Genomic DNA, 25,156 nt, shown 5'->3' on the forward strand with positions numbered 1-25,156 from the left:
TGCAAGACCCAGGAAAGGAAGCTCTCTTTTACCTCTCACCTCAATTTGGATACTTCCTCTTTAGTCTGTCTTCTAATTGAAAAATATGAGAATTCATAAACTGGGAATTTTAATATTGTCTAGCTCAATAGACAAATTTCTTTGTAGGCAAGAGACTAAAGAATATTGCATGCCCATTGTTGTCTAGATGTGACACTTAAGCAGCCAAGAGGTTTGCTTCAGGGATGTGAAGTACACAGGAAAATCTGACTTACATCATGGGGAGAAAGGGACAGCAATTATTAACTGTTAACAATGGAAAACATAAGCTGCCTAATCTACTGGGAGGTAATCTAATAGTGGGAATATGGAGGGGAGAATCTGGGTCTTATAAAGTATTTAAATTGCATTGTCAGGTAGGCAGGATCACCTGTGCAGGTCATCCAATGTCATACCTTTGCACATAGGGCAGTCCCAGATAAACTCTATGGTGGGCTAAGTTGGTCACTAACTTAAAAATTGGAAATAGCTTTTGAGACATATGCCTGGGGTTGTGCATCAGAATCACCTGGTTGAAGGGGGACAATAGAAAAATACAGTTTTTAGTATCCCACTCAACTCTAGGAATCTAATATTTTAAATGCTTTTCTAAGTGACTCTGATGCAGTTGGTTACTAGACTGGTGTTTAAGAGCCACTAACCTAGGCCAACTTCCTCACTGGAAGGCCAACAGAAGCAGAAATGAAGGCCTAGAGCAATTTTGGTAGATTGAGTTGTGGGTCTCAATTTTTCCCCTCCTTGTTGCAACGTCATCTCCACCCCTTTGTCTTGGCTTTGTAGTGGGCAGAAGAATCTACCCTTTGCTCTTGGGCTTGATCGTGTGGCTTGCTTTGGCTAATAGAATGTTAGAAACGATGGTATGAGCAGTGGCTTAAAATGTGCTTATATGGTTTGGCTTTCTCTCTTGGAATCCTGCATTTTGCCATAAAAAGAACTTGCATCAGGTAATCATTGGACAAAGGAGAGCGAAAGATCCGTGAAATACACTTGGACCTCTCTGCAGCTTGGAGGTAAGCCAAGCCCAGTCGAGATTACCCTCAACTAGTCAAATTTGAGCCAACATATTTATTTGGTAAGCCGCTGAGTTTTAGAGTGGTTTGTTACACAGTATTATTGCAGCAGTAGCTGGCTAATAAAAAATTGCATTATTTATTAAAAATTGAGTCAGCTTTGGAACTAGAAGTTAAATTTCCTGAATCTCAGGCCCAACCTTTTTCTCCTGCTCCGTGATGCCTATTTTCCTTTGCTTCCTTTCCTTGACAGAATTAAGCACAGATGTCCATTGTCTTCGAAAGGTACTTCTCGTTGGCCTACATTTCCTATATTTCTGTCAAATTTTCTCATTAGATCTTACCTTTCCCTATATCTTATTCTTATAGAATTCTGCTTTCACCTTTCAAAGAAGACTAAGAAAGCTCAAATAAACTAATTTTTACAATTCTATTCAGAGGTAACAATGTACTTAGTTAAACACTTCTAGATAAAATTTCTTCTGCATATGACCTAGGGCTGACTGGACACTCAATGCCAAATGATAAGAATTTAAGTATGATACATAGTAATTGATGGGGAAAATATTTTTGGGTGAGTGTCTTTAGTGCTTCTCAAATTACATCTAATCTAAATACTATAGAGCCTGGGCTGCTTTCAGACATTCCTCATGCAAATAATTTAGAAACTCTCTGCCTGACAGGGCCAAATAAATAAATACACTACAAATATAGGCCACTAAGAGAAATGTTCAGATGGTATTGCTATTTTGTTCCTTTCTGTGGAAAAATTTTTCACATGGAAGCAAATCTTCAGAGAAAACACATTTCTCCAGAAAATGTAGGTGTTTTGTTAAAGATAAAAAATATTTTTCAGTTCCTTGACCTTACTTTGCCTGTAATTTCATGTTGAAGATTTTATATTTATTTGGGGTTAGCATACATTTTTATCAGGTAATGAGTAATATTGGAATGATTTTGCACTATCAAGAAGAAAAACAAAGAATAGAAGAGAAAAAGTCATCATTATTAGTATAAGTAATCAAGTCATGTTCAGTGTTAATTTATTGTACATGATTCTCTGGTCTGTTTAGAGAAATCTATTCACTTGCTGCTCCCTTGATTGTCATGTTTGAAAGAAGCAGTTAGGAGGCTAAGAACTTGGAACTTCCATGAAGACACCTCTGAGCACAGAAATTAATGAGCCTAAAAGATCTATTGGAAACCTGCAACTTTCTTCAAAAATTCTATTGATCCCAAACTCAACTGAAGCACAAAAGTTGTTTACAATTGTGAACTTGGAACACATGCGCACATACCTAGCAAAATGTTCATTGGATTCATAATCACTGGTTTTTAAAATTGTAAAACAACTATGCCAAAATATTCTCATGTCAAATGTTATTGGTCTGAGCTTCATGTCAAACCAATATTTAATTTGATTGATTGATTTAACAAATCTGTATCAAGCTGCTTTTTGCAATGCATTTTGATGGTGGTGCATTTTGAAAGCAGATTAACTAGAGGTGGTATACAATTTAAGTACCTTATAGTCTGTAGCTTTTCCTGGTAATAGTTTGCGCTAGAATATATGCTCCTTGAAGACAGGCAATGTCTATTTTGTTCACTCCTGTATCTCCAACATGTAGCACAGTGCCTTACATACAGTCACTAAGTAAGTATTTGTTGAATGAGTATGAATGACAAATACAATTTGAGCATAAATAATAAAGGTATCCACTAACTTAAGAAGACTCTGGACACTATTGCCAAGGTTTCAAGCTTGAATGACCATGGTGCAGTTTATGGAGTCACTCATGACAATAACATTGTGGGTGCTATTTTTTGCTTTGAATGTTAGAAGCAGTAAATGCCTCCTGGTAGGCCTAATAGCAAAAAGAAAAGGGGTTGTTGCAATAGTGACAATCATGTAAAGAGAAGGAGTTGTAAAAGAGTCTTAGCCTGTGGTCTGTGAACCCTGAAGTCCATAGAAAGGCGTTAGGGGCCCACAAACTATGGGCCGTCTTTGAGCATGTGGCTGTGGAAAATCTTTTTTGTCTCTCAGTTCAGCCAGCTCCCAGTTTTGTCCCTTGAGAGTAGGACTAATCACACCAAAGAGATATTTCTTTTTGGTAAGCTGCCTTTGGAAACCATATAGGCCATTGATAGCTTTGAGATGGGAAACATTTCAATGCCAAGTGCAACTTGAATTGGATGGGAAGTCTTGGTGTTCTCTGCACAGATGGAAGACCTGTGAAGCTGGCACTGCCTCAGCCTCTGCTGCTTCACTGAAGAAAGATGCTCCACATGTCATGCTTTCTACACGGGCCTGTGTTGGTGTCAACAGCTCTTCCAACAATCTCAAAAGAGGTCTTTCTACTGCTGTGAAAGTCTTCAGCTTCTTTGGAGCCAAGAGCTTGAATTAGTGCCTTTTCAGTAGATCTTTGTCAAGATACAAGAGCACACCATGAGGTTCTTTCCTTTTAGAGAAGTTTGTTGACAATCCAGAGAAGAGATTTAGATGTGATTTAGTTTGGTTAATTCTTTACAATTTTTTAAGAGAAAAGAAAACTCCTTCTTAGAATAATTTGATGGTGAGAAATTCCAGGACTAGCTTTGTAATGGCTGATACCTTAGGCACATAAATTAAACAAATCTTTTGATTGAAAATGCTGAAGTTACTATTAGAGATCCTGCTGAAAAACTATAAGCTTTTTTTTTGGCCAAGCAGCTACTCTAAATGAGGTGACCGAAGTCAAATAACAATATGGATTTTCCAACACTGAAGGTGAGACTGACGAAGACTTGAGAGTTTTTGGGGACAAAAATGTACAGACACTTGGCAAGTGGCTTATCTCTTATGAAGGTCACTTTTTGTTCAGACAGCCTTAAAATGGAAACAAATTGCCGACATAGATAGCGTTGATGATATAAGCCTAACAAAGATGACCTCATTTACTTGAGGACAAAGGAAATGACGTATTATAAATTTTAGTTGAAAATTTTGGTAATTGTTGATTCATGCTGACCCATCTGAGATATTGTGTAGTATTGGAGCTCTAACTCCATTTGCTAGTAGAGACTTTGTGAATCAGGATTTTACCCGTTATTGACATTAAAATGAAATGTTGAAATTGATGCAATATGAAATATTTCAATTCCTTGATCTAGAAAAGCTACAAAAGACTTTTCACAAGAGTGAGAAAACCATAATTTTCTGTAAATGCTGTTCTGGTATTCTGACTGTGTATAGGAGATCAATTTCCAATTCAATCAGATAAAAAGTAAGCATATATTTCATGTGTGTGTGTGTTTATGACTATTGTTCTAGGTGGATGCTTGTAAATGAATTAGATTCTCAGAGGGGTCTATAGCTCAAAAACATAAAAATAAAAAAAGAACCATTAAGGTAGGGGATGAGCTGATCAGGCAGCATGCCCCTGTTTAGTGGGGTTCCTCTGCACTTGTTTTGTGGGAGTTCTGTGATACAATTAGCTGTTACCTTTTCTCACTTCACTTTGCTGAGCACCGCAGACCAGGGTTGGCTCTGTTATTCACATTACATGAGTTAAAGACACACACATGAAAACTTTTGTGCCTCAGAATGTGGCTGAAAGTGAATGCAGCAGGACAGGACAGGAGAGTGGAAGATGGAGGAAGCTTGCTTGCTTGTTTTCCTCATGTTATTAAAACTAGCCCTGGATGTAGTAAGGAGCAGGGAGAGGTGGACTAGATTTTAATATAAAGTTCTTGTAATAAAATTAGTGTAGGACCAATATATAAATACGATAGGGCAGCTATTTCAAAAATAGCTTAGTCTAAGCCTGACTTGGTACTTTCTATTTTGCTAATTACTTCAGGATTGTGGTGAGGTCTCCAGGTGTTCTCAAGGAGAATGGCTGATTACAGATGCCTGGATGTCGGGTTGCAGAGGCATTGTGTGCAAGTACAGTCATGACAAGTTATTTTCAACCCTCTCTAGCTCTGAAGAGGTGACACTATTATAGAATAACATGTGCAAACACTTATTCAAAGTGATATATCCCAGTGTGAGCTGTCATATAGTATAGTGCTTTATGCCTTTCTTTTCCTTGCTGGGTTGATGATATGAAAAATGTTCCTAATGCAATTGAAAGGTTCTTGAGTTCACCAAAGCAAAGGTCCATTCTTCTGCATCTGAGAGTTTGTAAGTCAACCATGTATAAGAGTAAATATAGACGTGTTCTCAAATTTTTACATTCTGAAATTTTCCATTTCCTGTTAAGAAGAATAACCAACTAAAATGGTATGGATTTTATAGGGTTGAAAAGGAAGATATACAGTATAGTAACTTCTGGCAAAGGTGGTGAAAATAGTGTCTATCTATTTAACCTTAATGGATGCCTATAAAAGTGCATGAAAATACAGTCTCTAGTCTGTGATGTTTGGGGACATTCTTGAAGTCATCAGTGAAATTGCTAGGGTGGATTGGGTAGTGGGGCATATGTATCTTTAAAGATGGCATAGACTTGGCACTCTCTGGCAGGGTTTAAAACCCCCTTCTGATTTAGGACAGAACAAGGTTTAGGGATTCGAATGTATACATTTGAATCAAGATCAAGGAGAAGCTGGTTAGCAGCAGGAAGTATATAATGGGTGAGTGAATGGTTTGGTGTGCTGATGTTGGGGCTTGATAGAGGGTGTTAATTTATAGAATTTATCTGCAGGAAGTGATTTCTAATTATATTGCTTCTTTTTCCCTCAAAATTGGTGACATCATTTTGGATATGCCTAAGATTTTGGGTAAGATTTTAGTGCTAAAATGGGCTTTAAGAATAAACCTTCTCAAACACTTTATTCTAGCCATCCTCACTTTCCAGTTGAAGCTCGCTACAGACTAACTTGCCCTAAGTTCAATATCTAGTTAGTATTAGAACTTACGCCAAATCAGACCTGACTTCTAGACAAGAGCTCTTTTCCTTTATGCCAGGTTACATCCAATCAAGAAACAGGGAATACAAAAAGAACTATTTTTTATCTTTTATTAATGCATAATAGTAAAATATTCATTTTATTTCTTTTTATATCACAAACATGCATGCATTTGGTAAGTGGAGATTATTTTCTTAGTCTGAGGTAAATAAAATAGGGATATTAATGCTCTCTGAAAGCTAAAGGAAACAGAAAAATTTTTTCGCATCAGATGGATAATGTGCTGACATAACAAGATTGGAAGGAGGCATGTCTCACATGTGAGCGTAAAAACAGAGTTATCATGCTTGTGAACCACAACATGGTCAGACAAAATTTTTATTTACGAAACTTCCAAGGTCTTACTTTGTCTTAGGTTATGCTGACATTGGATCTATTATTTTCTTAGTTCAATGTAGAAAACAGGATAGGTACTCATATACATTTGTTTAATGAATAATTAAATTAAGTCAAGCATTCGCTGGGGACCTAGTATATGCCAGGCCTGCTGAATATTTTCCAATCCTTAAGATTCACAACTCCTTTCCCACCTCTCTTAAATCCTTTATAAAAGCCTCTGAAATCCTTATAAAAAAGTCCTCTTTGTATAGCTATAGCCCATATTATTTGCTTATTTTTCCCATCTGGCATTTTTAAACGACTATTTAGTTACATGTTCATCAGCCATTACTGCTGTTTGTATGTTCCAGATTATCTTAGGAAGGTCTTAAAATTATCAGAGAAGTAATAGGTTGTTTTGGGTTTAAAGGTTTGTCTACCTGGAGATCAACATTTGTTTTTTCATTTTAAAATAATCACAGAACTGAAGTATAATGTGACTAATTTAAATTTTTTTTTAATAGAAGGTAAATTGATCTCCAGATAGAACCATGTGCATTGCTGGAAATTGTGTATGATAAACCTGACACTTTAATATCTAACAAAGATAACATATAATATAGAGAGACAAAAAACTAGGGTCCAAGACATGGTAGTGAAAATGTGGGGGGAAAAAAAACAGGAAAAAAACAGGAAGCTTCAGAAGGCTGTTGATGATTATTTCTTACTTTACAGTTAGTGGCTTAGAACATCTTATTCTGGTTGGTTCAAAAGGTTCGTATTCAATTAAATTAAAACATCTTGAAATACAAGGAAAAAGCTCCACACAGTCTGGAGAAGAGAAAACATGGAGGAGAAAGTTGGCTTTTGTAGTTGATTTTCACATATTTATAACAATTTCATTGGAAATGGGTTTCATGTGGTTCATGTGGACTCATCAGAAACAATGGGATGGAAGTTTTAAGGGAGTAGAAATTCAATTTAAATGAGGAAAACAGTTTAATAGTTAGCAAACTGGATGTTATTTTTGTGGGGGTTAAGTGAGCTCTTCATTTTGGATATATGTCAGCAGAAACTTATTGACAGCTTGTTGGGGGAGGGTAAAGTAAGAACAGATTCATGTCTTATAAATGAGATTGAACTAATAAATCCAAAATTCTTCTTATACGTTTAAGAAATTATGAATTTCTTCTTGGCAGCTGATTGACCTTTGGTATGACTTCTTGCTGCCATTTTGAATAATAAATGAGAAACAAGATCTGCAATTTGATATTGGTTAAGTGTTTCAAATAGTAAATAGTAAACAAATACATCTGATCTTTGCATTTTTCCTTTATTATGTAATTAATATTACTTCTAGCATCTGTTTTTACAGGCTGTAGATCAGTAAGAATCTATGAAAATACAATGTTCATATTTTAAATAATCCTAATATTATAGTAGCACGCCTGGAAAAGTAGTTCCTGGGATCTCTAAAATTTATATTGAGTTGTAAAACTGAAGTATGGGCCATGGGTTAACAACCTTGAATTTTGCCCCTAGAATTAGTCTTAGAAAATCTACTTCGTTATGAATACATTATTATTCAGTACCTTCTTTCTGATTGATATGCCCAGAGCTACCTTTTTCTTCAGTCTTTTAAGCACCAATCTTTCATTTTGGCTCTAAAAATGAGATGGGTTTCTCCTCCCTAGTTGGGACATCAATTTTTACCTGCCAATACAGTTTGATGAGCTTGCTTATGCTCTCTTCCCTTCCTCCACCAAGCCAGAACATGTAGTCAGCAATCATGGCACTCCTAAGAACAAGGACAGATTAAAAAAAAAACAAAAACAAATGTATAGGACAGAAGGAAAACCATAACAGGCACTATATACAAATACTGAGGAAGATGATTTTTAATGTATAAATTTGTCTAGACTAATATTAAGCAAAACACAAAGCACATTTTAGAGTGTTGAAAGTAGGGATTTTTTTGGGGAGGTAGATAAACCAAAACTATAAAAGAGAAGCAATAAGCTATTTGTCTTCTAGGTGCTTTTTAAATTTGTACAGTATAAGAATATTTAAAGATTATGAGAGAATGTTTTGTTTTGGTTGGCCTATATTAAGCTTCAAAGCCCTTACAGAGTGACACAGATTTTAGGAACTTTTAGCTCTTCAAACCTAGCATAGCGTATATAGCTAACTATTAGATTGGTATTTAAGCATATCTCAGACTTTACCTGAGTTAAGTATTATTCACCTCTTAATAGTCTCCTGAAAACAGAAAATAAAAAAATCTCCAATTCAAGGAAGAATCCTCTCCCCACAGATTTTTGTGTAATTGAATTGATTTTAATGTCTAGTGTGTAGACTTTCTGCATTAATCTTATTAAGTTGAGGGGATATTAAAAACTATTGTGCAATGGATATTAATTCATTACTTAGTACCCTTTGGAAAAACAGTTTACTTTTATGACTATTTCTCTGCTAGGTCTCTCTATTTCTTTCTCCAGAGATTCCAAATCCAATTAAATGTGACTAGAAGTAATTCCAAATTGTCACGTTAGCCAATTAAACATATAATAATCCTGTGTACCTAATCACTAGTACCAAAAGTTTATTTACTTAAGTAGAGCTATGACTGTGTACCCCTGAATGTTTTTCTTATCTTTGCCTGCAGATATGTGTAGTTTCTTGACATCATTGTAAATTGAATTAGAAAATTTCCTTTTCTAAATATAAGTTGTATAAGTCATAGCAGTTATAAACTTACTCTGTTGAAATAATTTAAATGTTTAGATTCTTCTTCAGGACAGACAAAAATTAGGACTCTAAAAAATCAATGGTGGAAACAAATACCACCAACTGGAGGATTATTCAGCTCTCTCTCTCTCTCTCCCTCTCTCTCTCTCTCTCTCTCTCTATATATATATATAAACACAGGTAGTATTGGAAAGAAGCTGCCCACTGACATTTCAAAATAAATGACAGTAATTTAAGAATAGCTAATTTAAGAATCCTTTTATATTTTTCAAAGCTCTTAATGATAAGGTAAAGAGAGGTAGGAGGTTTTGATGTTGTGTGAATATGAATGGGACAGAAACAAGTTATAAAAATCATAGATTGTAGAGGGACAAAAGTGCATTTCAAATGTTTGCATTTTGATAGAAGCACATGGAAACATTTTCTTTTCATAACAACCTAAAAAGAAAGTTTACTCGACATGGAGGTGCCTGTTATTTAATAGAAATTCATTTAATAAATTCTGAATTTAAGAAATCGATGGAAAATATAGAAATTTTACTTTCAAGGACAACACGCCCTATATTTATAGGAGTTGGGTACACTTAGGTGACAATTTGGTCTGCACTCTGATTGCTTCTACCATTAACATTTGGATTTACAAATATGGTTCAACAAACATTGCTTAAGAAGTATACCAGCCATTAGTTAAATCAAGGGTGGGCAAACTTTTCCTGTAAAGGGTCGATAGTAACTATTTTAAGTTTTGTGGGCCATGTGGTTTAACAACTACTCAACTTTGCTTTGCAGAAGCAGCTATAGACAATACATAAACCAATTAGCGTGGCTGTCTTCCAATAAGATTTTATTTACAAAAAACAGATTGGGTTAGTTTAACTCTAAAATAAGAAAATTAGTAGGTTGATCAAGCCATGGTGGGCATTTATATAATTGTCAATCAATAGTCTGATGCTGGCCGGGCGCGTTGGCTCATGCCTGTAATCCCAGCACTTTGGGAGGCCGAGGTCGGCGGATCATGAGGTCAGGAGATCGAGACCATCCTGGCTAACACGGTGAAACCCCATCTCTACTAAAAATACAAAAAATTAGCCACGTGTGGCGGCGGGCGCCTGTAGTCCCAGCTACTCGGGAGGCTGAGGCAGGAGGATGCCGTGAACCCAGGAGGCGGAGCTTGCAGTGAGCCGAGATCGCGCCACTGCACTCCAGCCTGGGCAACAGAGCAAGACTCTGTCTCAAAAAAAGAAAAAAAAAAATAGTCCAATGCCAGTGTGTACATATTCCAGCCACAGTGCCCCTTGGATATTTCAATCTGCTATTTTCTCTTCAAGGGACAACATAACATGCACTAATATTACTGAGCAGAGTCCAGTAACTAAACTTGACAACTTGAAACATGCAAAAAATGTAAAAGATAATTCTGGATCATAGACACAGTGGCTTGAGTCAAGTAAAAGCTAAATTGATAAGAATTTTTATAATGTTAGTTATTGTCATTTTTGGATTACGACTATTGTGAAAGAGAAGGAGGTAGATCACCCCAGTGGGTTTCTAAGGCTTTCCTGATTTTTTAATGCTTTTGGTAATTTGGTTTTGTGTTCACCATTGTAAAATTAGAATTTTTAGCGCTTTTATTAATGTTATGCCAAAGTTGCTTTTTCTGTAATAATATATTGTCGCATTGTTTGCTACATTCTTAAGTGTGCTTTTTCACCTGGGGGCTCAAGTCTTTTTTTTAAAGGAACACAGCTCTCCAAATTGATATTGAAACCATGAAGAATTAAGATGCATTGAAATTCCTTACCTGCCATACCTCAGTGAAGCATAAGTATTATAAGAGCAAAAGGATATTAAAATTAAATAACAAAAAATGATTTCCTAAAGCTCCATATTAGCTGAGATATATTTCATAAGTATGATGTATTTCTTTCGATACCTGGCATGTATTCATAGAGGTGTGTTCATGTTTGGAACACAATTCAGATTGTAGTTGCTCCAAGCCCCTTTTTCTTCCCAGTGGAAATGGCAGCTGTGCTTTTACTACCTGCCTTCCTTTGTCTGGTTCTCTATTGTAACTCTGCCCTACTGCTCAGCCCTCATGAATCAGTGAAACTTAGTGAAATGATATGAAAAGTGCATGGAAATAACATTATGTCATGCAATATTTGTGAGGGAAGAGCCATGGGCTTTTCATCGTGCTGAATTTATAAAAGGCAAGATAATTAATTGATCAACCCATTGAGCATCCATAAGGAGTCAAGTACCATGTGAGATCCTGGTTCCGGCAGACTCATCCCATGAATCAAATGTAAACAGTAACCCATCATTCTTTCTATTCTCCTTCAGGTATCTCTCTACCATTAGAACAATATCTAGGTGCTAGTCAATGTGATTCAATGTTGCTTCCGACTATTTTCATTTCATTGTCATGATTCTGTTCATCTTATTTTCATTAATGTACTGAATGTTGTACCTGCAATGGAGCTATAAGATCATGTTAGGCAAACCCTTTTAACTGACGATCGGCGGCTTAACATCTGCTAATTTTGAGCCTTTATGAAGTGATAAGCACCATGTTAAGCACTTTATGGAGCAGAGTGTAAACCTGACCCACCCACTTCTGCACTAGATCTCATCCAATCGCGCCTAATCATGGAAACTGCTCCGCCAAGTATCTCACTCTTCTAGTTTCTTTTCTCTCTTTCCATTTCTCATTTTCTCCTGGAGCTTTTCTGCCAGCATACACAAATGCTGTTGTTTCTTCCTTTTAAAAACAAAACAAAATACCCCAAAAGCTTCTCTTGCTCCATGTCCTCCATTCCAATTATCACCTGAATTCTTCCCTTCACTATTAAAAAGCAAACTGGAAAACCTCGCACTCTTGAAAAAGCCGTGTGCATTCTCTACTTCTAATTTTTCTCTTCCTGTTGTCTCTGCGACTCATTCCAGCAGGGCTATCATTCCCACCACGTCACTGAAACTGCTCTTGTCAGTACCACTAATAGTTTCCGTATTGCCTAATGTAATGGTTCAATTTTCAGTCTTCATTTTCTATACATTCTCAGGCGCAAGTCATACAATAGCTCATGCTGTCATCTAGTGTACACTCTCCCACTTGGCTTCCACTGTGCCATTATTTCTGGTTTTCCTCCTATCTTTCTCGTTGCTGTTTTCATCCTCCCTTGCAGTTATCTTCCCAGCATTATCATCTGGTCCATAATCTCTCACCTGGATTACTGCAACGGCCTCCAAACTGGGCTCCCTGCTTCTCCATCGGTTTATTCTCAACACAATAGTCAGAGTGATCCCATTAAAATTAGGATGCTAGAGCAGGTCACTCCTGTGCTTAAAACTGCAAAGCTTCCTGTCTCTCTCAGAGTGAAAAACTAACCTCTTTATAGTGGCGTTTAAGTCCTATATCATCTGGACACATGTTGCTTCTCTGACCTCATTTTCAACTACCTTCTTAGCTCACTCTGCTCCTGACAGGGTCCATCCTGCTGTCCCTCACAAAGAATGGCCATACTGTTGCTTCTGGGATTTTGCACATGACAGTCCTTCTCCTGAAATGCTCTTTCCCTAGACATTCTTATGACTCTCTTGCTCACCTCCTTCGGTCTTTGTATGTGTCATTTTCTCAGTGAGAACTACCCTGACCAGATTCCAACACTATCCATACCCTCACTTGTACTTTTTCCATACTACTTATCACCATTCAACATAAAGTTTATTTTGTTTGTATTAGTTTTGGTGGTGTTTATTGCTGTCTTCCCTTACTGCAGGGTCAGCATATTATGGTCTGTGGGTCCCATCTGGTCTGCTCCCTGTGTTTATAAATAACGTGTTAACGGAACACAGCAATGCTCATTCATTTGTGCACTGCTTACACACTGTCTATGACTGCTTTTGTGCAACAATGGCAGAGGTGAGCAGTTACAAAGAAATCCTATGTTTCACAAAGCCAAAAATACTCACTATCTGGCTCTACTGGAATATAAGGTCCCCAAGGGCAGAGATTTTTGTCTGTTTTATTCACTGCTGTATCCCCTGTGCCTAGAATGGTGCCTGGCATGGTAGTCACACAATAAATATTTGTTGAATTAACAACTACACATTATCTTATTTATTTATATAAATTCAAAAAAATAAATTCGATGTTACAAAGAGCCTGAGACTAACAGAATTACATAGCTTACTAGGATTCTAGCAGAAGCAGTCTGGCCTTAGAGCTATCTCACTGTCCATATTTAAGAGAATGCTTTTGTAGTGAAAGTGGCATGGTAATGGAGTGACAGAATGGGCTTTGTCAGTCTAATTTGTCCAATGCAAAATTTAGCTCATATGAGAGCTTAATGAATGCTAATGGATGCTGATGTATTTATGGCATAAATTGAAGAGGAAAGGTATTGGGAAACACATTGGCCTAATGTGTTGTATCTAAAATTATTTTTTACATGATGCCTTCAGTCATATGTCAGCAGTTATTGCTTCCCTGCAAGGAAATGTTCACATTTTGTTTACTTAATACATATGTTAAGTATAAAAGGGCCAGAATCTGGTTTTTAAGTATCTACACATATAAAATAAAATGTTTTTTATGTTATGAACTCAGCTTATTGTGAATCAAATTTTGTTCCTATAGAATGGCAAATGCACAATAAAATAATGTGACATGTTATTATTCATCAAATAGGTACCAGTTTTATTTTCCAGTTTTATTTATTTATTTGTAATTAATATCACAAAAGGATTATGAGTACAAGCACATTTATGTTAGGTGCTTTTACAGATTGGATATTTCTAAGACTGTGCAATTCTAAGAGTATGAGAAAATACTACTGACATTTCTCAAGGCCTATGTTCAGATTCAAAATTTATAACATTTCTACTCAGTGTGGCCACATGGTGGTGTAAAACAATAAGATATGGGTAAACAAAAAAAAATCACAGCACACAATCAGCTGTGTGGTCTCATTGGGCTGACTGGCTGAGACCTTGAAAAGTCATTCCGTTCATCACCTTGCCTTTAGGCAGGATCACACTTAAACCTTTCAAATGAGACTGATGAGAATCTATTCCGTTTTAAAGACCTCCACAGAAGGACATTGCTCTGCTCTCCTCACTGATTCCAGAGTTTCAGAGCCATAAATAGCATCTTCTGCAGTTTTAGTCTGCTGGCTTTAGTTCTCTCTCCAGTGTTAATGCAACCCAACTACACCGTATTCTCTGAATAGAAGTCTAAATATCCTCACAATAATTTATTAATCTTCTTTTCCCTATGTTAATTAATTAACCCCAGTTGCTTCCATCTTTCTCCAAGTGACCTCTCTTTTTTTTTTTTTGCCATGAGTCAGTTTTGTGGTTGCTTTTCCAATTTATTTAAGTTTCTCCTTTTCTTCCTTCTACAATTGGAAAATGAACTCTCTCAAGAGTCTATGAATAATCTGTGATCTTTATATGCACCTATTTCATGTATGTAATTGTATAGGTACTTCTTAGAGGTATGTGTATGAGATCTAACTACAGAATTCTTTTGTATTATTGATATGTTTAGGAGGTTGTTTCCTTTCTCCTATACTTAAAAAAGCTCAAGAACATATGTATATACGTTGTTAATTTTAGATAAATTAATATTGTTGCAGAGTGTATTTTTCTTTTGACTATAAATACACACTAATATTAAAGATGATGTTCTTATGGGGAGAAGAGTGGAACTAGTAAATTCATTCAAGCCAACACACACACACAAACACACACACTCACACACACACACACAAAGCATCTTTATCTAGGCTCACATATTTTCCACACAGCAGCCAGTCACAATGTTCTTTCCAAAAACGTAAAGGAAAATTATCTCAAAACCCAACCTCCTATGGTAGCCTACAATTCTTAACAGGCTGTTTTCCTCTTCAACACATTTTCCATAACCCTCCAGTCAAGGCCCCACCCCCACCCCCTGGCCCCGCCCTGCTATTCCTAAACCAGAACCTTGTCCTTTTTCTAAATAAGCTTCACATTTTGTCATTACCTGTGTTTACTTGCTTATTGCCTCCTTTCTCTAGTCCTGTGCTGTCCAATATGGGAACAACTAGCCATCTGTGGTTATTTATATTTAAATGAATTAAAATTAAAATTTTTAATTTAGTTTCTTGGGTACACAAGCACATTTCAGGTGCTCGGTAGCCCCATGTGGCTAGTGGATACCATCCTCAATGGCACAGGATATCTTCATCATCTCTGGAAGTTCTATCTGACGACGCTGATCTAGACTGTAAGCTACAGGAGCCTACCATTACAGTGCCTCCTACAACATCTGGTAATAGTTGTTGCTCAGTAAATTTTTAATAAACACTTTGCCTATTTAAGTGATCAGTAATTCATATCTGCTGTGTTTGGGCTTTCCTTCGGTTATCCATCTTCCTTCCCCCTTACTGCCTGCCCCTAGTCATTTGACAATCATTCATAAGGAGACTCAGCTTTGATAATGCTCTGGGTTCAGGAGTTTCAGTAGTTGGTGGTCACTGAAGAAGTTTTTCGGTCTCTGGACTTTTGTAACAAGCCTTCTTCTATGCCTAATTGCCTGATTCTAATATCTGGAATTTTTTCCTGAGACTGAGTCTCTACCTATTGCAGCCCAAATCAAGTTTATAGGTTCCTGCCTTGATTATAATTCCAGATTCTGATGATTATTGGAGTTCTAGCCATGCTCCTGCAAGACTATCAAGTAATTGATGGGAATTTTTCTTGAGGTTTACTGCCTTCCTGCTAGTCTGAAATTTCAAATATTGCCTGTTCCTAGATTCTCAATTGGTAACAACAAAAAACAACGGTACTACTACTGCTATTTGTAACAGCAGCTGATATTTACTGAGAGCTTATCATGTACATAGCAAGTGCTTTTACATCTCATTTAATTCCTAAAATCAAGCTATAACTTGAAGAAGCTGAGGTTTAAGGAAGTTAATTTTCCAAAAAGTAGATGGCAGAGTTAGGATTCAACTAGATATATGGGACGCCTGAGGCTAATTTCATGTCAAGCTGTTGACTGTTGGTGTCCTCTCTAAAAACTATATTCACTGTGGTTGATTCAACTGTGTGTAATGCTATTGCCTGGTGATGCCTGGTCCTCCTCCCTTATCCCCCATGCATGCTTGTCTCACTAGCAGACATGTCCTATTCTTAGTTCTGGCTTATTAATATGACATGGTCAATTTTTTCTTTTCTGGCTGTGTCAAGAGAGGTGTTATTAAATCTATAGCAAATATATGCCTGATTGAAGAGGAATGGATAAATAGAACTCATTTCAGATATTTTTATGAAGTTTTGTTTTATTTTTGATTTCTTTTTCTGTGTGGAGCCCAAAAATCAGCAAATGTTTCTTGTTTTATTATAATAGGCAAGATTTGGAGTCATGGCAACATGCAGAAGTATGAAGACATGATGCCGATCTCTATGAGCTTCCAATTGGGCTATCAATATGACATCCATATTTAGCATATTTGACATGCCAAAATATCAGGCATTTTATATCCACAAAGAACCTTGCAAATGTTAAGTACCTTATGTTAACTAAGAAGTACAGATCATAAGTGCTATAGAATTTTAAAGAGGAAAACGATTACTTTTTTACTGTAATGGAATTTTCAGTGCTGAGACCTGAAGAATGGCTAGCATTATTTTTAAATAGTAATGAAGAAAAGGTAGCAGGTTTTTTATTTGGTTGGGGAGCAGGGACATATCACATGCTAGGGAATTGAAAGTAGAGGTATTAATGCAGAATCTCAGGAGAAGCAGAGGGTTTGTGTAGAGGAAGAAAGGGGGGAAACGCTAGAAAATTATGTTAGGGACAGATTATGATAAACCTTGGATTTCAGGCAGATGAATTTAAACTTTATTCTATAGATGCAAGGGACAATTGAAGAGTTTTTGGAGGGAGGTAGCATGGGAACTTCTGGTTTAAAAATCTCAGCCATTGCTAGTCTGGATTTAATAATGGAAAGGAGGTCTTACCTGGCCACAACCTGCCAGGCTTGTGTTTAATAGGGACAGTGATACTCTCTGGCTATATTGGGAACAATCCAGGGTTATCTGTATTTTGCTTTTTAGGTATGGGTTTGTAAGTGGTGTCTTTAATGTCTGGACCCCATTTGCTGTCTGGAATGAAGAAGATTGTCTTACCATGTTCATAGCTAAGTGCTCAGTAAATATTGATTGGCTGCTGTTACAAATAGTAATAGTAGTATTACTGTTGTTGTTTGTTGTTGGGTCCTGATAGGGCCATATGGATCTAGGAAGAGATGTAAATACATATGAGTACTGGACTTGTATTTGCATATTTCATGAGTTTCTCTGTTCCACAAAGATGAGGATACTAAGACGAGTCAGCCATTCCTATCATTAAGGTCTAATGAGGGAGGAAATATAATTATATAACAATAAGTAAAGTGGATAAATCAATATATGTACTAATGCAGCTGAGAGGGTTGGTGGTATTCAGGGAGGGGCACCTAGGTCAGCTTAAAATGATGAGTAGGAGTTAGCCAAGCAAAGGGAGCATAAGCCCGAGAAGGGCATTCTAGGCTTAGCACACAGCTTGAACACAGGTGCAGAGGTTAGAAGCAGGAGGAAGAGCAGGAAACTCCAAAAGTACTATCTTGCTGCATTTTGAGCAGGGGGGGGAATGCAGAGGAAAGGCATGAAGAAGCCTGGATTTCATCCTGTGGGTAATGGGGAGCTGTTGTACGGTTTTAAATAGAAAGTGGCAAGGGCAGTTCTGTGGTTGAGAGAGAGAACCTTGATAACACTTTAGAGGATGTATTTGAGTGAGAAGACTGGAGGTGGGAGGTGATTGCAGGAATTCTGGGGGACAGCAGACAAGTCTAAACTAGGGCAGTGACTATAAGAAAATAGGAAATTGAGATAATGACACCATTCTTAAGGACAAAGTCAACTAACAAGGAATGTGAGAAGACATTTATGACCTTAAATATGGTACATTCCAGGCCCTGTGTGATTTAGTCTCAGACTAGGGTGGGCTTTCATAGAGGAAGAGGCATTGAAGAAGTTATTGTTCCTATTAATAGTCCTATTAATCTTTTGAGGAAAGGAAAACCTAAAACTGACTTCTTTCCTTTTCCAGATGAATGAACTAATATCTGATGCTCAAGGAAACCATAAATGATAAAAGGATAATGGGCTCGGCCTGAAGCCAACCGTGTAACTCTTTGGTAGAGACTCACTGGTAATCACAGGCCAGCAGTCAAATAATCTGTTGCTCTGATTCTCTGGAGTGTTGATGGTGCCTGGTAAACCTTAGAGAAGCTTCCTTCGCACTCATTTTTCAAGAGCTCCTCCTGGAGCATCCCCACAGGGAATTTTCCTACCAGTGACCTGTCTCCTGTCCCACCATATCCCGGGTCACTCTCCCATGATGGACAGTCAAGCATCAGTTCTTGGAACATTTCCCTACCAGCAGAGGGAACCCTCACCTTCAGGTATGCATGGAAATCTGGAATGTATGGTTCTTCAATCTTGAACATGGATCCTGAAATTTTATTTAACGTTTTGTGGGATCAAAGGAAAGGAAACAATTAGGAAAAACTGAAAAATGTCATATTAGGTCATGCTGAAAGGGGACAAAAGCTAGAGGAGAGTCTGGCTGTACAAAAATAGGCAATCCTGAATTTAACTTCGCTTTCAGTTCTTCACAGCAGCAGTTTCTGGAGCCAATATAAAATGTAAAGCAGTTGGAAATAAGAGTACTTAGAGCAGAAAATAAACCCATTCACAGCAGAGAAACAGCTTACAGAGAAAGTAGCCAGAACTAACTGTCTTGTTACTCTCTAGAAGTAAAGAAATCAAAGCACAATCTCAAGCCTTGTAGCAAGTCAAGGGGTGTGCTTCGCATTCCATCTCCTGATCTCTGCTTGGGTAGGAAAAAAATCCCTCAGAATATATAGAGATTATACAGCCTGATAAAATATCCTGATTATTTAGCAAATAGTGCAACTCAACCACAGTCATAAACTCAGATGCCTATTTCTCAAGAGCCTGAGACCTGTAGGCAAAGAGGGAGAGAGTGAGGAAAACAGTTATTAGCCAGAATAGGCAGGCCCTGATATGGTAAACTGATTATTTGAAACTTGGAGCCCATTTTCTAATAGAACCAAAGTATCTTATACACTGTGGTGAGGTTGTCAAGGCAGCCTACAAACATCTGTTTTAAACCAAAGTTTACTGAAATGATACACATTTATCAGTTATGCAATGTTTTGCCAATGAAATAAAACTAAATAAAAGGGTAAAGTGACGTAAAACATCTGAATATTTAAGCTGAGTAGAATCAGGTTTCCTTTTCGGTGTTTCTCAACTGCAGTCACTCTTGTAAATTTTAGGTAGCTATACTGTGTAGTACGTGGGCTGTCCTGTGTATTGCAAGAAGCTCTGTACCTCTAGGCGCCTCCTCAATATGCCAATCGTGCTTGTCAGTTACTTTGGCCACCCAAATACCCTCACTCACTTTCCAAGAGATGGGGAGAGGCTGAGATCCACTCAGAGATGTTCATGGAGATTCTGGGGAGGAGGCACCTTAAAGGTTGATGGAACAGATGCTTAATATTTTGAAGTTGAATTTTACTTTATAACACTTTAATTTTTTGGGATGGAGTTTCACTCATATCACCTAGGTGCAATGGTGTGATCTTGGCTCACTGCAACCTCCGCCTCCCTGGTTCAAGTGATTCTCCTGCCTCAGCCTCCCGAGTAGCTGAGATTACAAGTGCCCACCATCACGTCCAGCTAATTTTCTGTATTTTTAGTAGAGACGGGGTTTCACCATGTTGGCCAGGCTGGTCTCGAACTCCTGACCCCAGGTGATCCACCTGGCTCCGCTTCCCAAAGTGCTGAGATTATAGGTGTGCACTCTTCCAAGAGAGTGGAGAGCTGTAAGATAATATATAAACATGTGCTAATTTTTATGAGTTACATCTATTCAGAGCAGACATTAGGCAGAATTATGATGTGCTTAAACTTGCTTTCAGCACTTTTCTAGACCCCTTTGGATAGTCCATATCTCTGCTCTGGAATCTTCTTTCTTTCCAATGTGTTCTGCTTGTACTAAAATCTTCCACTGTGAAACCCACCTAGGCCTGGTCCCTCAGGACAGTATTATAGGATTCAACCTTTCCCTCTCTCAAAATATCCATCCAAGTGTATCCATTCTGTATCTAATTTTTTCAAGTACACAGTTTATCTAGAGATAAGTAGGTAATTTCAGGGACATCAAAACATATTCTGGCTCACAAATCTTTCCATCAATGACTTAAAGTGCCATAAAATGACAGTTACTTCTTTAGGTTGAGATATTAAGTGGTATTGCACATTCGTGTTTCATTGGAAGGTGAAGGCATTATTTCTCATTAATAATTTTGAATAAATTATTTTTCATCAGAGTAACAGAGAGACAATATGGCACAGAGGTTGAAAACTCTGACTTGGGAGCTAGACAGCGTTTGTTTGAATCTCAATCCTGTTATTTGCTGGCTGTGTGACTTTGGACAAGTTACTTAACCTATCTGTGCCTCAGTTTCATCATAGTACAATGCGGATAATAATAGTTGCCAACCTCATGGAGTTGTCAGAAGGAGTAAATGCCCTGTTAAATGTAGTGCATATTAGCAGTGCCTGATACTTGGGAAGCACTCAGTAAGTGGTAGCTTCCCAGTTAGTATTCTGCCCAGGTCTTAACACTGATAGTTTGGAAAATAAAATACACATTGATTTCTTGAAAAGTTTATACCCCAATAGGCTTATTTAGACTGCTTGGAAAGGGTATTGATTATCTCATTGTTATTAAAATTTTTTCTTGTGCTTGCAAAACTTATAGAAGCTTACAACTAATATAGGTAGTGTAGGTTTGTGAGTCCACAGTGAGAATGCCATTTCTTTGGTGCAGCCCTCTTTAACCCTTATTACAGTTAACCCTTGAATATTCTTGTTTTCTACCCTGTCATAGCACTTTGCTTATGTCATCTCTTAGAGCCCTCTAAGTCTCCCTTTTAAATTAGCTATTGGTATTCTTTAAAGGCATCTACAGTAGAAAGTAATTTTCTGGAGGTCAGGGATCATGTCTTACTTATTATGAATTCACCAGAGTGAATTGCACAGTGCAGGCACATGCCATGTGATTCTTAATGAATGAATGAATAATTGTAAGCTCCATAAGGGCAGGCATTTTTGAAGTTTTGCTCATTGCCATCTATATCAGCAAGTATCTAGAATGGTGATTGGGACATAGTAAGTGAATAAATATTTGCTAAGTGATTTTGTTAAGTGAAGGGAGGCACAGATGTGCTGTTGAAGTTAAAATGGGATTCTATATATTAAACCAACATTTTCACTGATTACATTAAACATTTTGAGATATATTCCTCCAGAAAAAAATTTGCACTGGGGAAACCAACTATAATACATAAACTAGTACATTTACTTGCTCCTTTGGAAATATTTCTCTGAGGTAGGGGAGGATAGCAATGGTCAGTATTCATAAGCTATATTCTCCTATCTCTAGCCATAGGTACCACTTCATTCATTCAACCAAAAGCTATTGACCTCTTGCTTCATGAAGGGCACTCTGGCTGATGATGGGTCACATGAGACAGGAAGGATATGAAAAGATGTTGATCACAGACTTTATGTCTGAGTACCTGGAATAAAGTGTTATGCTCTTGCCAATTGTGAGTAAAGTGTGATGTTCTTAACTAGTCCACTTCTAAGAGAAAATGCCTTGCTCATATCTCTCATGAAGAAGCAGGTCTAGGTGAACTCATTCCCCTTTTCTGTTTGGACCAGGGTGACAGTCAAGTTTTAGAGATCAATGAAATCATCTAGTCCAAAAATCTTGGTCAAACCATGCTTGACTAGCAATAAAAATGTATGAACTAAGAGATTTAAAGGAAAATCAGTGAGCAGCAGCAGGAGAAGGGCAAAAGAAAACAAAGGGCAGAGGAAAACAAACCTCCATTCTCTTGTCATGACTGTGATGCCCACACTCTTGATCCCATGCTAGGGGTGACCATACACCTAGGTTTTCCCAAGATAGTCCTAGTCCATCCTTGATGTCCTAGGGTAATTAGGCCCCTTTCACTGAAAGGGGTTTAGATGTCACGGTTTCAATGATAAATTATGTGAACGCCTATTGTTCTCTCAGGGGAGATATTTCAGAGTGTGTATGCATGTTGCACAGCCAGCCTCCATGGTTAAATATACCTGTTTAGTACTCTATGAAGAGAACAATATATCCTTTCTCTACTAGGATTGTAAGCTCTTCAAGGGCAGAAATCTCATTTTCTTCTTTTCCTATTCCTTCTTCCTAGCAAGAGCTGATTATATAATAGGCTGCAATAAATTCTTACTAAACTCTATTGAACTTTTCCCCTAAGAGTCTACAGAAAAAAATGCGTATACATGCACACCTTTTTTCTTCCTATGAGATATATATTTTCTTAGAGATAACATGTATTTATCTGCAGCCAGCTGAACTGCTGGATGGCTTTCTTATAGAATTTATCTGATGCAATCCATAGCAACCTTGATTTTTACGCTGAAATTGTGCTTTCCAAACTCATATTTTCTAGCTTTTAATTTATACATTTAAACCAGAAAACGGGTTAATAAACACTTAGATGCATTTCACTGCTTCACAGATTATGCAACACACACAAGAACACTGATAACAGAAAGGAAAGTTTCTATACACAGTTCCTTAGGTAAAAAGGGGACACAAGCAAGGCTGAAGAAAAAAACAACAGGGAGCCAGATATGGTGAACAGCATAGGCAAAGTTATGGAGTTGGGAAGTGGAATGCTATGTGTATTGAAAGCAAACAGTTTTTTATTTATCAAGTGTTCACTATATGTGTTTATAGTATTTATATTACTTGGGCTTCAGAGACAGAATACATGGGAGAACTGAGAAACTGAATTCTTTTACCACAGTTGTTGAATTTACAGGGTAGTCTCGCCTTTCCTCTCCTTAGAAGTTTTGCACCCTTGAACTAGTTAATGGTATGGGCGTTAGGAAAATTCTGCATTCCTTTTGTGGCACAGTACAATACTCATTTGTTTCTTTTGAGGTTTGCTTGAAGGGGGGTAATGCAGGCAGATGATGCTCTTTTTTCTTCTATTTAAAAAACCACAGCTTGCATGACATTTGTCTTTTTAAAAATTGTTTTTTTAATTTTGCAAATGTGCCCAGAGGCATTAAGTAATGGTAGCATATTTATAAATTAAAATATAAATAAGTAATTTTGGAAAGCAATAACAGCTGGGAAGTATTTTTTCATGTGAGTTGCTTTTAAGGAAAGCAATAAACAGTTTTTTTGGGGGGAGTGAAGAAAGAAACCATACCAGTTCACAGAGGAGTAGACAGTGCAACAAGAGCTTCTTAACAAAATTCCAAATTTTATGAGGACTTGAAAGAGAAAAAGCACATCCCTTAAAGGAAGGTAGGGGACTCTAGGGTGTGTGTGTTGGCTTGGTGGGGAGGATTGAGGGCAAGGGGAAAGGGTTAAATACAAGAAAAAAATATTCATGACGCAGGCATGATGACTCTGCTTCTTACTGAGTTTATATAATCCACTTGATCCTGGGTAGAAGGGAGTTGATGGTGACCCTGTTAATGTACTTCTGAGCAGCTACTACTGCCCTGGGCATGATCAAAGATGAACATCAGAAGACTCAAGGCCCTGCCCAAATGGGATCCATTTTCGCTCTTCCTGATTTAGGAAAGGACTCCTCCCATCAAAGGGTTGGAGCTTGCACCCCTGAGAGACAATGCTGTGCTCTGGGAATAAGTGAAGATTTAGGAATTTACTGCCATGGCCAGGATTTTACAGAATTTATTTGAGGAAAGCAAAGTCTTTTACAGAAATCACTTGATAGAGGCAATTCAAAGACAATCTTTTGAGCAATTACACCTAAAATACAACAAACCCAGAAAAAGAATGTTTTGGAATCCCTACGAGAGTATCCAGACTACACTATTAGAGAGAGAATTCTCTTATCCCCCAGTGGTTGGGGCTTATCCCCAGTTCCTTGGCGAGGGATCCAGAGGCTGAAGATTGATCCCAAAACTGAGTGAACAGAAAGGTTACATTATGCAGGTTTAAAATCCAACCTTTGTTGGATTTTAAAATATTAGTGAAAAAAAAAAGAGAGAAAATGAAAATTAAATAGTGGCAAGTGACAGCTTGCCATTCTATTCAATAAGGTTAAGCTCACAGGCAATGGATGGAATCAGTCAAATCATCAATAATCAAATTTGAAACCTATTTTTAAAAATGTTTTTAAAATATGAGAAAGATGTAAGGGTTTCCTTGATCAATGGCAAATAAATCAAACATCTTGTGGGCAAGTGGGTGGTCCTCTAAGCCTTCCAGGAAAAAAAGTAGTAATTAATTGAGGGCCAAGGAAGAGTTTGTTGGACAGATAAAGTCATCTGTGAAAGACGGAATGATGATGATGAACAGCAAGAGCCAACAGGATAGAATCTGCATTACTTTGCTGAAGTATTCCAAGCAGAGAAATCCTTGAGTGACAGCTTCTGATTATAATCTTCCTGTGGCATAATTACAATAAATATTAAATGTTTATGTGAGCATATTTGTGTATAGGTTGTATACACAAAACAACACACATAGCAGCAGATGATACAAAAAACTTCTAAGGGTATTTCTGACATTACCTCTTTGCTTTTCTTCTCTTTCCCCCTCCCCCGCTTAAGATGCTAACCTCTTTGTACCATGCTGTTCTGCTCTATTCTTGTCTGGAATGCATGTTAGCTGGCCACCAGGAATCCCAGAAGACAGTTGGGGGGACTGAAGTCTTGTATTATTCTGGTGGGGATATAAGCTAGAATATTAACTTGTTGCAGTTCTTGTGATTTAATTTGTGTTCACATGTTAATAAGGCTTAGGGAAATTCAAGTCATGGAAGACATAGAGTAAAAGCCATAAACTTTTCATTACAGAGTCTGGGTCACATCATTCCCAATACTTTTGTTGACTTTTATAAAGGTCTGGAATAAGGAGCTCC

At 37.4% G+C, this 25,156-nt stretch overlaps 1 protein-coding gene and 1 non-coding gene across 4 annotated transcripts in view; both read right to left on the reverse strand.

Moving 5' to 3' along the window:
• The window catches only part of SPATA16 (spermatogenesis associated 16), a 251,879-nt gene that overhangs the window by 79,581 nt on the left and 147,142 nt on the right, over positions 1–25,156 (reverse strand). For all 3 annotated transcript variants that reach the window (NM_031955.6, XM_006713778.4, XM_017007308.3), the window contains exon 5: positions 8,031–8,115. In NM_031955.6, the coding sequence (NP_114161.3) occupies positions 8,031–8,115 (85 nt within the window). The remainder of the gene's footprint in view (positions 1–8,030; positions 8,116–25,156) is intronic.
• LOC124906369 (small nucleolar RNA U13) lies at positions 6,205–6,305 on the reverse strand. The gene has a single exon (XR_007096336.1). It is a non-coding gene; the product is annotated as a small nucleolar RNA U13 (small nucleolar RNA).

The sequence above is a fragment of the Homo sapiens genome, chromosome 3 (genome assembly GCF_000001405.40).
Source record: "Homo sapiens chromosome 3, GRCh38.p14 Primary Assembly".
In the NCBI taxonomy this organism is placed as follows: domain Eukaryota; kingdom Metazoa; phylum Chordata; class Mammalia; order Primates; family Hominidae; genus Homo; species Homo sapiens.